Below are 16,006 nucleotides of genomic sequence, written 5' to 3' on the forward strand. Positions count from 1 at the left end.
TATTTTTCAAACCTGAGTTACCTTGAATTTCCATCTCCCTTTCTTTTTTAAAACCTAGAATGGTCAGTTGGAGTGCGTACGCTGGATGGTGAGCGAAACAGAAGCCATTGCAGAACTGAGTTGTTCTAAGGATTTTCCAAGCCTTATTCATTACGCAGGTTGCTATGGCCAGGTATGAAGGAGTTTTTTAAGTATCTTCCCTTTGTGTACCATATAATCTTCCTACTTTTTTATTATTAGTCCATCAAAATCCAAACATAAGAAATCATCAAAAATGTATCCAAAGGTATATAACCAATGATATTTGTTGTTATTTTTGTTTTAAATGAAAAAAAGTTTACAACAACCTAAATAAATATCCCATGACAGATATTGGATAAATAATGAAGCTGCAGCCATTGATGACATTTTATGGGAAAATGTTCATTATATAGTACTAAACAAATATGTATGATACAAAACTGGTCCTATAATTTAGCACCAACTTTGAATTTTGGAGATAAAGAGAAATAGAAATTAATACTAAAAAAATTATGTCACAACATGTTTATAGTAGTTATCACTCAGAGTAGCAGTACAAGTGGCTTCGATTTTCTATTTTTTTAATTTTTCAGTATTTTCCAAATTTTTTACAGTAAACACATTTAACATTTATCAAAAGGAACAATGATACATTTTCTTGAACCCAAAGTTAAAAGGAAAATCTTTATAAGACATTAATCAAGGCAGTCTCACTCAATTAAAGATGAATAAGCACACTAACCAGATGGCTCTCAGTTGCAATCAATTTCCACATTAGGAAATCCCAACATTAATTAGTGTACACAGATCACAATCCAGTGTTTGCAGTTAAAAAAAAAAATTACTACCTCCCTTTGGAGAATGTGACTGTGAGTTATCTTTTTAAAAAACTGGAACCACAAAATACCAATCTCAGTCTTAAAAAATAATAGTACTGTGTTAAAATAGATTTAATTGTGTTTGTGGCAAAGAAAATTGCTTCTCATGCATTTAACTGTATTCTCTCTGGCTTCATAAACTTTCCTAGTAGAAGTAAACTGTGGCGTTGTCAACAAGAGATTATGCTTTTTCAAGTAAGACAATCTCAAGTTCAAAAAGTAGACAACACTATTACCACAGTCTTTCTTTAGTGGGAGTCATGCTTAGGGATAGTTTATTTTGTGCTGTGGTAACTTCTAGTAGTGTGTGTGTGTGTGTGTGTGTGTGTGTGTGTGTGTATAATATATATTACATAAAAACATGTTTTTTATATGTTATATACACATGTAAAATGTTTCCTATGTGTGCCAGGCACCACGCCATTGGATTTTGTGTACATTCTCTCATTTATTCCTCAAAACAACCCTGTGAGAGCTTGTTGTGTTTATCCCCATTTCATAGATGAGGAAGGAGACTGAAGAAAGAGAGTTACATGACTTGCACATGGTCTAATGGCTAGTAAGAGCAAAGACTAGATTTCAACTCAGATTCTCTCACTTCAGGGCCAGATCCTGTTTTGTCCCCATTTGTATAGAAAATGTATGCAGATTGTTTGTAGAGGCACTGATATAGCTGAAGAAGACTTTTTTTTGCAGTTTTATCTAACAATACATTGTAATATTTGGAGTGCTTCACACTACTCATTGAAGAGATTTTTAACTGTACCAAATTTATGAAATGGAGAAAGGAGCAGGCCCTACATTAAAATTTGTAAAAGCCACTGTCTTTGAAATATTATACTTACTCTGTGTTCTTTGTGCATTGTACTTACTAGTCCCCATCCACAGTGTCCTGAAAATGATTACTGGTTATTAAGGCATGACGTAAGGATGTCATTTTTTGCTTATGCAGACGCTCCCCAACTTAAAATGGTTCAACTTATGATTTTTGGACTTCACAGTGGTGTGAAATAAATACACATTCTGTAGAAACCATACATCAAGTTTGAATTTCGATCATTTCCTAGGCTAGTGATATACAGTACAATATTCTCTTGTGATGCTAGGCCGTGGCAGCTGCAGCTCCCAACAGCCACGTGATCACAAGGGTAAACAATCAATACCCTATAGTGTATTAAGTGCATTTTCGACTTAACAATATTTTCAACTTAGGATGGGTTTATTGGGCCATAACCCCATTGTAAGTCAAAGAACATCTCTACTGGCAAAGAAGAGAATAGGATTTTCAAATGATCGGAAGAATTTGATCACTGTTCATCTTCCTAATCATTTTGAGTCTAAAACAAAATTTTATTCAATTGTGTGAATAGTTATTTCATGTCTCCGATTTCATTTGCTTATATTAAAGCCTAAAAAGGAATTTTAAGTATCAGTGGAAAGGCTGCCTGCACTTTTGGTAGAGCTTGCCAAAGAAAAGGAGGAAAGAATTACAGGGCTGTTCTGAGACTCTAAGTAAATAATTGGGCATTCGGCATGCTTTGTCTTGGGAAATGTTGATTATATGTGCCAGTTTCTTTATTCAGCTCTCACAGCAGGTTTCTCATAATTTTGAAGCTATTGGGACTGAACAAAATAAAGTGCCCTTTTTCTGGGACTGGTTGGGTCACAGTGTGACTTACTTGGTGGGACTAGAGGAAAATATGGAAATTGGTGACCTGTTTGAAGAGCTGTGTCAAACGTTTGCTTCATGCTAGTGTCAATATTCAGGTTGTTATTTCAAGATGATATGCATTTTTTATGACCTAAAATACAGCTCTGAGGGGGGCAGTCCAGCAGTGCCCTTAGGAGATCATTCTTACCCAACTGGAAAATATAGAAGCCCATTAGAACTGCAAATGCTGTCCAGCCATCCTACATCCGCCACAGCCACTTATGTAACAGATAACCTGTGGAGATGCTGAACTTGGAACCATTACAAGCCTAATATTTTCACAAGGAAGACTGTTATTGAACGGTTTTCTAATGGATTCAGCATATGCAAGTTTTTCTACATCCAGCAGGCATTTGAGTGTGTCCTGGCTTTGTTTCTTCAGTAAATGCCCCTGGAAAGGATAGTACAGAGGAAAATTCCTCTCTTGGTTTATTTTAGCCGCTCTCTGCCCTTCATATAGATTCCTAAAGAATGGGCTCCACGTGACTCCTAATTTGTGTCGTTTTTCTTGTAAAAATTACCTTTAAAGACTCTAGTACCACAGGGTAGCCAACAGTTTTTAGTGCTCTCCTGAAGTGATAGATCCCTGGGTGATAGGAATTGATTTTCTTCATCTTGACACATGAAGTCTCAGAGGGTGCAATTATTTCATTGCCTGACTGTACCTGGCAGAACTAGCCACAGGGAATGTGAAGGTGGAAGCATCAGGGACACCCGAGGAAAAAGCAGGGAGTGTCCTCGGATAGGCCTGCTTTGCTGGCCCTTGAGAAAGATGTTGCTGGCAAAACAATTGAGATGGAATTATCTCAATTCAAAGCTACTGCCTGTGTAACTTGGGCTGTTTTATTCAAACATGAAGGTTCAGATTGTCTCATCCAGGCTCTCCCAGCACAGCTTCCTGCCCTCCACTGCTTGGGAGCCTCTGCCTGCTCTGCGCTGGTTATTAGTCCAGTGGGCTCTATGTTACTTTCAACATCAAACCTGTGATTCCTTTTGTTTCTGAATCATTCATGTGACTTTTAGTCATGAGATTCTTCTACGAAAACAACCTGCATCATGGCATTGAACATTTACTAACAGCACCTTTACCTACACTGTTTTTATTATTTTCTGTAGTTTAAATATTTGCCCTAATACAGATTTTTTTAAGGGCACTTTTTGAAAAAAGAAAAGGCTCAGCAATTCTTGCAAATGGTCATGAGCAGTGGTAGACATGCTGGTGAGGGGGGTGTTCCCGCAGGCTGTGTTATTGTTGTTTTTCCACAATTTACTTTAAAAAGGAAAAATATTCCCCTGCCTTTATTGTTTTGCTGTCATAGGGAAGTAAGTCAACAGTACTGAAAGTGCTGCGATCACAGATGAAAGCAAAATAGAAGAGTCTTTGATTAGCACACACGCATCTGCTCTCCAAGTTCTGATCTTGACAAAGCATAACTGACACAGAGCCCTACAAACCCACAGACTGACAGGCAGTTAACTGTGATTTCTTTGACTCAAGGGGCACAAAGGGAGCATGTCCTTTACAGAGTCAGGGGTCATGAGGGGATGCGCAATTGTGGATATCCATACTCAAAAGACAGAAAACAGAGTCATGAAGAACATTGGTTCATACAGCAAACTGTCTCCATTGTCATCCTAACCTTACCACTTACTAGTTCAATGGGTTAGATATTTTAATTTTTTTTTTTTTTAAAAAGAGAGAAAATATAAGAATAGGTCTCCCTGGACCTCAGTTTCTTCATATGTAAAATGGAGATAATAGAACCTTCCTCACAGTGTTAATCTGAGGACTAAGTGAGAAAAGCCACATTGCCCAACCCATACTAGGCACTAGATGAATGTCGGCTGTTATCACTATTGAATCTCCTCCAACTTATTGTTTTTATTCCTATCAATATTATTCAGTTTACTTATTTTACCATTAGTAATGTATAGGAGAAACTTGCAAAGGAATTATTAAGGCCATAACCTATTTAATCAATTCTTAGGTGCACTTTATTTCACATTTTACCGTCTTTTGATTCTACATATATCTTACAATACATGAAATTATAAAATAATTGCTGACCTTTATTTTTTACATTTTTACATCTCAAAAACTGGAATAAATCTTATAATTGGTGGCATATTAGATTTGATAATCTATGATCACAAAGCTAACTCCTTTTAAAACATGGATTGCCACACACTATAGAGACTTTATTGATACCAGCAATAAACCTGTGACATACTTCTCAAGTACATTTTTTATTGGAATTTGTCCAGCAAATCTCATAAATCACATGAGATAATTGCCTCTTTAAACAACTTGCATTGCCCTTAGGAACACATAAAATACAACATTAAAACAGGTTACCAAAACAGCAGAAAATCCCCAGAAGAGGAAACTGCTGAGGAAAACTATATAAGAGGAGTTTTCAGTCAGTACATGAAGGTTGAATGGATAAGTGGATATGTGGGTGGATGATGAAATGTAAGTTGGAGAGCCATTCTGGGAAACAAATGATACAGAAATCTTCATCCATGTGACTTCATTAGATATTCTCTGAAAGCAATACTTATGGGGAAATGAAGGTCTGAAGTTACATCCATCCTTTAATGTCTCCTGCATGTAGATACACTGACTGAGAGAACACACACTGAGGGGCTAAGAGGGGAGGGGGACACCATTACATATGTATCTAATCATATTAACAAGTGCCCTCTTGGCTGAAGAAAAGTTTTGTCCTTCTTAGGAGGTATTTTCAGATAGTCATTTTGAATGGTAGAACTGTGCATCTCCACAGGCATGGTCCCCAGAATCAGGGCAGGATTTGTCTGTAAGCAGATATTAAATATGCTTTTACCAAAACCAGAGACTCTAGCCATCTCCATGTCCCCCTCAAAAACCCTAAATGTCTGTTGTTAAAAGACAAGGTATATAGTCAATCCGTCATTTTGGGGAGTACTTCTCTGCATTGTATAATGGAAGATTTTGGTTTACATGTCATATCTCAGTGGACAGGCCAATCGCACTTCTTATTTTAAATTCTTATGCTTATTCTTAAATTGTCCAACATAAAACCCAAGACTGGATTTGAGGTGCTAGGCAAAACCTTGTTCTGAACAGTCAAATAATGGTTCTTTCTTTATGTAAATCTTGCATATTGAATTGGTTAGAATCTTTCATTGTAAGGAAGAAGAGTTATCCATGCCTTCCTAAGAAGGAAAGGCAAGTTATTGTAACAATATAGGTTGAACCTGACTTGGAGGCCCCCTCAGGGGCCCAGGTAACTTTTGGCTCACACAGACCATGTATGTCTTGTTCTCCCAGATTATCAAGCCCCTGAAAAGTCCGAGGTCCTAGACTCTCCCCACAGATTTCCACAATGGGAACATTCCCACTCTTATGAGGGGCAGTATTCCATTGCCTATAACCCCACTACTAAAACTAAAGCACTGTGATTTTAATAAAGGGCATTTTTTTGTGTATGTGGAATAGACATACCCCCCATAATATTGGGGCCTGGAAATATGGAATTACATCCAACAAGAAGATACATGTAAAATGCTTCTCAGTATCTTGAACTCCTCCAGGCTTTACTTGCTAAAGAAAGAAGTCTCTAGAATATCAAGGAATACAGCAGGTCCTTACATTAACCTGGTTTCTTTCAACATCATCTTCTTATAATGTTGATGAGAAGAAAAAAACCAGTTCCCAGCCAGGGCCACTGTCCCTGTGGAGTTTGCTCATTCTCCACATCTCAGTGTGGGTTTTCTCTGGGTACTCCAGTTTCTCCTCACGTCCCAAAGATGTGCACATTAGGTGAACTGCTGTGTCTCAGTTGTCCCACCATGAGTGAATGTGTGTGGGTGTGAGTGCACCCTGTGTTAAGGTGGTGTCCTGTCCAGGGATGGTTCCCGCCCTGTGTTCTGAACTTCCAGGATGGGCTCCAGCCACCCAAACCCTGACTGGAATGATCAGATAAATAATTATCTTACTTGTTTGTATTAGTCTTTCTTAAATGTATGTATAGCTCATATTTGTTTCAATGTTTCACTTTAGAAGTGTTTGGTCTTTATTTAGAAGTTTGGTGCTGTTTTTGTGACCAGAAATATGTCATAGGAACTAAAATGGTAAAATTAGTTTCATTATACTTCATTTTGCTTAAAGTCGCAATTTCCAAGAATCTGTCCATGCCATCACATGAGGACTTGCTGTATATCATTGTCCGCTCCCTCAGTTTTCTGACTTATAAAATAAGGCTTTTTGAATTGGATGATTCTTTAAAATCTCTCCCCTCCACATGTTTAGGAGTCCATGATTTAATATCTTGAAGCAAACCAAATCACCACAAGTTTGAGAATGACCCATTGAAGAGAATTTGTTCTGCCTATGGTGGGTCCATCTGTTTCACTGGTAGAGGTACCATAATCTATCCTCTTGCAGCCTCCATGTCTGAGCCATTAACCTCAACCAGTTGGTTATGTCTTTTATCCTGAGATACTTCCATTCATCCAGATTTTTAAGGAGTTAAGAATCGTATGCTATAATCATCTATGTCCAATTAAAAGTAATCCAGTGTTTTTCCCCTACCTAATTAGAAAAAAAACAAAGGAACTGCTTTTACGTTATGCAAATGAAACATCACCTGCTGTGGTCCAAACATCAGCTCCAATTTTCTCTAGGTTTGCCTTTGAAGAAGAGGACTAAGCATAGCAGCATATTCTTATCCAACCTCTAACTCCCAGCCATAGCTCCAGGCTCTGCTTCTACCTCATTCTCTAGGGACCCTTGAGGGTTTCAGTTTCTACCATGTCTGTCTCCTTTTGCAGTTAACACTCACCCTGCTTTCTGGGATGCCTTCTTAGAAGGCTGTAGGCATAGATTACATTGTTCTCATCATGCTCTTTAGGGGTCTTACTCCCTGGTGCTCATTTAGAAAAAGTGTGGTGCAAATGTTCAGTCTCTCCCTGATGTCACAAATACCTTCATAAACAGTGCCCTGTTCCCCAACATAAGGGGTGAAACATTAAAAGATTTGGCTGTTTTTATCCAACATTCCTTTAGCAGATTAGTTGGCATGTTCAGAAGATGAAGGCAAATTTAATCCAGAAAAGTATAAAAGTTCATGAGCAGTCGGAGCAAACAACTGGAAAAAAAAATCCTTTAAAAGGCTAAGAAGAAAGAAGTTCAAGGTTATTTCAAACACATGATCATCTTTTTAAATGTCAAATTCCACCCACTAAACTTCATGCTGTTGTTTTTACCACTCTCATATTTTTTTAACTTTATATTTAATCTTCTATTTTAAAACAGTGAAATCCCATCCCCCTGCTTTCTCCAAAGGCCAAGCATAACATGAAAATACCACAAAACACTCAGTGGGTAAAATGCAAACAGATTATGACAACACATACTGTGACTGCTCTATGTCTTTGCTTTTGAAAGGTTTGCGTTCCAAGCTTTTGGTTCCCTTCCTTTAACATGAAAGAAGGGAAATCTTTACCTTAAGACACCACCAACACTTGGTCAGAAAATCAAGAGGGTCCTGGTTTTATTTCAATGAACTTATCTTACACTTGGCAACTTAACGTATTTACCTGTTTTTTATAAGCCTGTTGATTGCAGGAGGTATGGATTATAAAGGCATGGTTGAAGAATTATAAACTTAAGAGTAGAAGCTAATTCTCAACAATTCAAGGTTTTATGGTAACATTCTTGAAGCCTACAGGCAGTATAACACAGCAGCAAGAACATTGCCTTGGGAGCCTTGGAATCAAAAGACATGGATTCTAGTTCCAACTTTGGATCTGTCTAGCTGTGTGCCTTGGATGAGGCACTCAATCTTACTGCAAACCTATTTTCCCATCTATAGAATAGATAAGTAAAATAAGAGCGCTTCCAAGGGAGCTTCCTGCTCTTAAAATTCTCTATGCCGTCCTCTTTCATTCATTTCAGTCAGAGATTCAAGGATTTTCAATTCACATCTGAATGAGAATTTTCTCTTGCTACGGTAAGCATGGTTTTACCTAAGCTTCACAAATTAGGGTATTGTTTTCCTCTGTCTTTTTATCTAACTTCTCTGCAAGATATTACATGAATTCCAACTGTCTTTGTGTTTATAGGAAAAGATTCTTCTGTGGCTTCTTCAGTTTATGCAAGAACAGGGCATCTCGTTGGATGAAGTAGACCAGGATGGCAACAGTGCCGTTCACGTAGCCTCACAGCATGGCTACCTTGGATGCATACAGGTACACAGGCCCTGCTGTTTTGCAATGAGAAATGAGTATATCAAATATTAAACAAAACATTAAAATTATGTTCACTAGGAGAATGTCTGAATTAATTCACCTTTTGTATGGTCGTAGACAATAAGGAATTATTGCTCTATTTGTGTTTCCAGAAATCCACACAAATGTAGGTAGGCATAAATATCCATAAGAGTTTCTCTTTCAGTGTCCCAGGGTGTTGAAAGGGACTTTTCCTGCTCCCTTATCACTGCTCTAAAGCCCCAGTGCTGAGGACAATAGACATTAAATTTCCCCATGTTCTCAAGGCACCAGAGAAACCACTACCAGGCAGACATCTGTCTCTCAAGTGGCAGGCTGCTCTTCCCCTAACTAGTAAATTTCATCCTCCAGGTATATGAAGAATAAGATAGATTTTTCAGGAATGGATTAGAATTCTTTGTGTAGGGAGTTGTAGGCTAGAGAGAGAATGCTGTAGTTCCCCCTTTCTCTGTAGTAGGACTGAGCTTCTCAAATGCATTCAAAAGGTCCAGAATTGGTTGGGAGTAGATTCAGATATTGGTCCTCTCCGCCCTTGGGCAGGCCACCCAGGGCCTTGATTGCCCAACCACTGCACCCAACAGCCTCAAGTAGCCTTATCTTTTTACCCTAACTTGCCTTCTAAATATTGTCATATCCAGTGTGTACAATGATGTCAAAAAGTTGGGGAGCTGAGCCACAGGAGAGGGGAAGGAGTCTCGACCCCCTGCCCCAAGCCACATGAAGGGTGCTCCAAGAAAGCTCCCTAGAGAGTGTAGGGTTCCTATGAGAAGAAGAGGTGACATCTCATCCCTCAGTTGAATGCAGAGCTGCATGAAACTGGGCCAAACCCAGAGCTGCCATCCAAGTAGTGCATGGCAGGAAAGCCCAACAAAGGTCTCCAGGAGTCTGGAGTATATGTGAACATAAGACCCAATTGATCTTTCCACCTTGAAAATGTCGAATGCCCTCAGTGACAGAGCAAAAAGAGGGGATAGCTGAAGGAGGAGTAGCAGATGGAAGAGGCATGACAATGTGAGGAAAGGAAAGGCTTTGAATTGGAAACAAAGTCAAAGTTTAGACTTGGTCTAGAATTTTATTTACAGACATAAATCATTATTACCAGAATCAGACCAATTATACCATTATTATCATTGAAAGTGACCCGACATATATGGATTTATTCCCATATCTATCTGATATATAGGATAGGGAAATTGACAACATATGGTTGAAGGTCATGATTAGAGACAAGACTTTTACCTCATCAAGTTCATACGGTTCAAAATATGTTATGGTATATAACATGTAATACACTTTCTACCTTTAAGAAAGCAGTACTCTTTTTTTTTTTTTTTTTTTTTTGGCTTACACGTGTGTTATTTTCCTATGTTGCAAACTCAGTGTGCTCAGTTATTCAACAGGTACTTACTGAGGCCCTCCTGGGTGCAAGATAGATGGTATCCAAAACAGAAAACTGAGAGGTGAGAACCAGTTGCTCAGGAAGGTAGAGGAGACTTGGGAAATGACAGGAGAATATATGGGGAAACTATAAATATAAAAGGCAAGAGATTTATGAAAACAAAAAGCAGAGATAATAGCAGAAATCTCTCTAGAGTGCCTACTCACATGAAACTGCTGTTTGGAGAACTCACTTGATAGGAAATAGTCCGGAGAGCTGAAAGTTTTTCTATTATTGTTGGCAAAGTGTGCATCTTCTAATTTAAGGCATCAAGTTTTTAAAAGAGTGATATGAAATTGGAGAGTATAGGAGAGAAATTTAAATTCTTAACAGGTTCTGCAGAAATATTAAAGGAGTAGCATTTTTTTGTAAAGGAAATATGATTGAATAAACATTGAAAAATATGCTTTTCTATTTAACAAAACACTCTAATATTTAATAGTCTTGAAACAAACTTTTAAGCAGCTAAGAAATGACTAAAGCCAAAGAAAGCCAGCTGATATCACTACGTGAGATTTTAGTTATTTTTCTTTTTAATATGTGAAGAGAGACAGTCTTTGCTTTTAGAGCGTTCATCACTCCACTTACACACAAATGATATTTTTGGCACTGGGTACCATGGAAGTGGAAACTTGGATAATCTTGGAAGGGGATCTGTCCACTGGGTGTGAAATTTAAAGAAAAAAAAAGATAAGAGACCGAGAGTGAGCAAGGGACCCTATGAGGTGAGGAGGGGACTGAGTAAGGAAAACAATGGAAAGAAAACTGCAGAGGTCAGGGCCAAGGGGGAGTAATAACAGTGTGTGTTTATATAGCATCTCTTCAAGAGCCCTGAGAGCTCAATACTGACATGGTCTCTGTGACACTCCTGTGAGGTAGGTGGCAATGGCTTTGTGGTGAGTTGACCTTTCATGGTGAGTGATCATAAACCAAAAGGAAAACGAAGCTCCTTACTGACCTCTCAGTCTAAGTAGTCTAAAAATTTAAATACTACAACTATTGCTTAGGGGAAAACACTGTCTACTACCCAGATTAATCCAGGTTTGCAGTCTCATCATGATATTGTCAAAGAATCTATCAGATTGTAGTGGTTGATTAATATTGATGTAATAACTTTTTGTGGAATCTAATAATATCACAGTATGGACACAAAATAGTTTGGATTTTTTTAAATTATTAATTTCAACCATGTTCCATCAAATTTCTCTCTCTCCACAACTAATGATACCTTGGCCAGATTCCGTAACTTTCTCCTTTCTTATGACTATTAAAATTTACTCCAAGCCTCTTTAAAATCTCAGTCTTACTTCTGATTCAAAGCATTCTCCTTCCCACCCAGACTAGACTCAAGATTCAAGGGACTTGGAATGGGAGTGAGACATGCCTTTTTACACACCACTTTAGCTCCTATCCCCCTATCTCTTCTGGGCTGCAGTGTCAAGGACAAGAAGGAGGTATGAAGAGAAAAAGTCCGGTATCTCTTTGCTTAACTGGGAAAGGCATGCAACCTCCCTGAAAGTTGTCCCTGCTTCTTTGGCTGGCTGTGGTCACTGATGCCCTCTGTGCCAACCTTCAGATGCTGACTCTCCAGTGAGTGCCATGGTTGGGGTCTTCAGAGGGCCCTCTGGAGCCTTCCCCTCCTCCCCCATACAGTTCTCTCCACCTCTGGGGCAGCCTATTGCCAATTGTAGCCATAGAACCCTCTCCTCATTAAAGAGGTGATAAGAAGCTCACACAAAGCTTTCTTCTACAAAGCCTGCTCAATCCACAGACATGTCCTCACCATAGCCCATTGTGGGAGGGTGGGAGCTGCTTCACAGCCTCCCCACTCTCAGCCATGTCATTTCTTTCCAGTTCTTTTTATTCCTGATCAGGTTGGCGCAGCAACAAATAAACAGGTGTTATTTCAAAACCAATTACCAGAGACCAAATCCAGTTACTAGAGCCCAAGCAAATGAGAACAGGTAAGATTCCAGTCTCCCCCTCTTACAGGCATCTCTGACTATGAGTGATTCTCTTGGAGCCCAACCATGACAAGAGACAGAACTCCCCACCACAAAGACTGCACTGCATATCTCATAAAGGAGAGCACACTATGGACAGCCTCCTCCTCTCCTTCCCAGCCCCCTCCTTATGTGGGCTGCAGATGAGCATTGATAGTAGTAGGACTGGCTCTGCTACATCATCATAGACTCTGAAGGGAGGTGTGTGATATTGACTGCTGAAAGGTCCCTAGAGGCTCTCTTCATACTATTCAACATTCTGTTACAGTCATTAAAAAATAATGTGTACAGAGATGTCCTGATACACATGTCCTTCATTTTCTGACAGACCTTGGTTGAATATGGAGCAAATGTCACCATGCAGAACCACGCTGGGGAAAAGCCCTCCCAGAGCGCCGAGCGGCAGGGGCACACCCTGTGCTCCAGGTACCTGGTGGTGGTGGAGACCTGCATGTCGCTGGCCTCTCAAGTGGTGAAGTTAACCAAGCAGCTAAAGGAGTAAGTGGCCTGTTGGTTCCATGAGAACCAAGTCTAACTCATTATTGTTGTACTTAGGCTTCAGCCCCATGCTGTGCTGAGCACTCTTCTTTCCAGTTGTACAGGGAATTCCTAGCATTCTCCTCTTCTGTTCTTCCATCCAAAGTCCTCACAGCCAGCGTTCGTGCTGAAGATGCCATCTCTGCAGAGGCAAAAGGATGTCTAAACAGTAAAGTGTACAGCAAGCTCCCAAAGCAGGGAATTTAAGCCAGTGGACAAGGCGAGAGAGCCTCTCTCTGTGTTCACAACTCAGGGCCAGATTACAGAGCGCTGGAAGCACTCATAGGCATCATCTCCAAACTTTTGTCCTTAATATTTTAGGAATCATAAAGAACATGAGAGAGAGGAAAAGGCTAGAGATGGACCAATTTCCCAGTTTTCTCAAAAAGAAAAATGTGTGGGGGAAATTACAGATAAATAACTTGGTGACTATCACCAGCAAATTTCTTATAAAAATTAATCAGATGATTCATGAATCTTCATAATAAAAAATAGTGCTCAGTCAGCATGAAGTTACTTAAAACACTTCACGACTAATTACAGTCAGTTCTTCCCTTGATAAGATTATTAAACTGGTACCAGTGCATGTCTGGGTGTCAGGGAAGTATTTCTGGGAGATTGTCATAATATGCTTAGAGAAAGAGGTCCCAGATGAAAGGTCATCAGGTCTCTGGCAAGTTGAAGGACTAAGGAGTTAACACCTGCCTGAGGGGAACCAAGGTCAGCCCTTGAAAAGCTCACCCATTAAATACAGTTTCCAGATTGGGGAGGGTTTCCTGAAAATCAGTCAGTATTCAAAGTAATGTTGACAGATTAGGAGGGTAAATCTTAAAAATTAAATTTTAGAGGGAAAATACTCTTACCTTTAAGTTTTACACACACACACACACACACACACACACATTTTTTTTCTGAATACAGCTGTACCCTAGAACTTAAAGTATAATCAAAAAAAAAAAAAGAAAAAAACCTTGGTTTTTTTCACCCAACCTTGGTTGGGTGAAAGACCTCAATTAATTAATTATAATCCATGCAACAATATGACAAGGCCTTGGACCCTCTGCCTCTTCTCTAAGCTTAGGGAAATGTCCCTTCTCTCTCTCCTTCCACTCTTTTGCCTTCAAGCTACAAGTCTCTGTGCCCCTCTACCCCTCCCCCTGTCAATACTAGAATAATTTCTTTAATGAGTTTAGACTTCTAGAAAAAATAAATTAAAATTTGAAACTTGAAAAAAAGGGGTTACTGCCAACCATCCTTTGCCTAGTTACACAAAACTTCCCCAAGTTAGGTGAGCTAGGTAAACTTCAAGGTCTCAACGTAATCACAGGGAAAATGCACACAAATTAATAAGTCAGTAAGCTGTCTCCCCACAGTGAACACACTGTGCAAATGCCTTTATGAACATGTATAGATATTTCAAAAAAACAAGTTCCTAGAAAAGGAATTGCTAGAGCAAAAGACATACATATTTAAAATGTGGATAGATGTTAACTAATCTTTCCAAAAATGCTATACTAATGTCCACTCCCTCAAGTAATGTATGGACATATCCATAAAGAGGAACTTTAAAATGATCCAAAGGAATGTTTTTTCTAAAGGTTCATACTCAGAGAAGGGAATCACAAAACATCCTCCTTCTTGTTCATAGCATGGAATCTACAAAACTTTCATGAGCTACAATCGCTCTTTTATTGGTGAACTGCTCAAAGTCAAAGTCTTGGCTGCTTTCTCAGTTGGTGATCCTGGGATAAAGTACACATATGTACTAGTAGACTGCAGTCCTTCAGTTGTCTCCAGAACAGAATGCTGTGGACAGCTATAGTTGGGCCAATGACAAGATGAACTAAGAGAGGCTACGTTGTATACCCTAGTCTTTTACCTACTGTATATCTAGGTGAAGTTGGCAAAACTAGAAATGAATGGAGAAATCAACTTGGTACAGCCACAGTACACTGTGCCCTTCAGGCTCCCAGACACCAATAACATAGACAAGGACAGGAGAGAGGATGGAAAACACTAGTCTTCCCAGTCCAAAATTCTGGGGGAAGACAGTCTTGAGTGCCTTTTCCAACCTTCAGCAACTCCTCAGAGTTAATAAACATACTTAATATTTAGAAATGGCAACCTTCAGCTCTACTGAAGTGCTAATCAACAAGCCTAGGTATTATGGGTGTCCCCATCAAAAAAGTATGTTAGATTGTGACCTTATTTGGAGACAGCACCTTTACAGAAGTTATCAAGCTACAGTGAGGTCATTAGGATGGGTCCTACTCTGACTAGAGTCCTTATAATAGGAGAACATTTAGACACAGACATGCACACGGGGAGAATACCCGTAAACATGAAGGCAGGGATCAGGATGTGCATCTGCAAGCCAAAGAATGCCAAAGACTGCCAGCAAACCATCAGAAGCTAGGAGAGAAGCAAGGAACAGCTTCTCCTCACAGCCTTCAGAGGGAGCCAGCCTGGCCAGCACCTTGATCTCAGACTTCCAGCCTCCAGAGCTGTGCGATAATAAACTTCTATTGTCTAAGCCACCCAGTTTGTGGTACTTCCTTACAGCAGCCCTGTCAAACTAATACAGTGGCCATCTGCCCATATATTTTCTTTTCTACAATTAAAGCTGATGAGTTCTTCCTGAGGGCTACTATAGAATCCAGAGAGTAGTCTTCCTTCTCCATTCATACCTGAGATTCAAGTTGTCAGTCAACCCAATTACCCCAAAATATTTTTCTTTGACTGTGTCATAATTCACTTAAAGACACATAATAAGCCCTTTAAAAGCAGACGCTAATCTTTCTTCATCTGTTTTATCCCCTCAATAAATATTTTTCTTAAAAACATGTGACTTGCAATACCAGCTAGCAAAGTGGGAAAAGTAGAATGCTTTTATGTTTTTAGTTTTTATTTTTTTCATTAGACCAGAATCAGCAAATTATAGACTGTGGACCAAATCTAGCCCATCAGTTGTTTTCATAAATAAAATGTTACTGGAACACAGCCACACACATTCATTTGTCTATTGTGTAGGACTGATTTCATGCTGCAAAGGCAGAGTTGAGAAGTTGGGATACAATTGTATGGTTCACAGCCTAAAATATTTACTATTTGGCCCTTTAAGAAAAAGTTTGCTTGCTGGTTCCCA

At 39.2% G+C, this 16,006-nt stretch overlaps 1 protein-coding gene and 1 long non-coding RNA gene across 55 annotated transcripts in view; one reads left to right on the forward strand and one right to left on the reverse strand.

The window, feature by feature from the left end:
* SNCAIP (synuclein alpha interacting protein) overlaps positions 1-16,006 on the forward strand; it is a 152,867-nt gene that overhangs the window by 120,558 nt on the left and 16,303 nt on the right. For 46 of the 54 annotated variants that reach the window (XM_006714734.3, XM_047417925.1, XM_047417932.1 and 43 more), the window contains 3 exons: positions 59-172; positions 8,719-8,844; positions 12,653-12,822. In XM_006714734.3, the coding sequence (XP_006714797.1) occupies positions 59-172; positions 8,719-8,844; positions 12,653-12,822 (410 nt within the window). The other 8 variants (XR_001742366.2, NR_131761.1, XM_047417929.1 and 5 more) reach the window with 8 other exon arrangements.
* The window catches only part of SNCAIP-AS3 (SNCAIP antisense RNA 3), a 42,591-nt gene continuing 31,171 nt past the window's right edge, over positions 4,587-16,006 (reverse strand). The window contains exon 6 of the long non-coding RNA NR_051996.1: positions 4,587-5,427. This is a non-coding gene — a long non-coding RNA (SNCAIP antisense RNA 3). The remainder of the gene's footprint in view (positions 5,428-16,006) is intronic.

Source organism: Homo sapiens, chromosome 5 (genome assembly GCF_000001405.40).
Source record: "Homo sapiens chromosome 5, GRCh38.p14 Primary Assembly".
Classification (NCBI taxonomy): domain Eukaryota; kingdom Metazoa; phylum Chordata; class Mammalia; order Primates; family Hominidae; genus Homo; species Homo sapiens.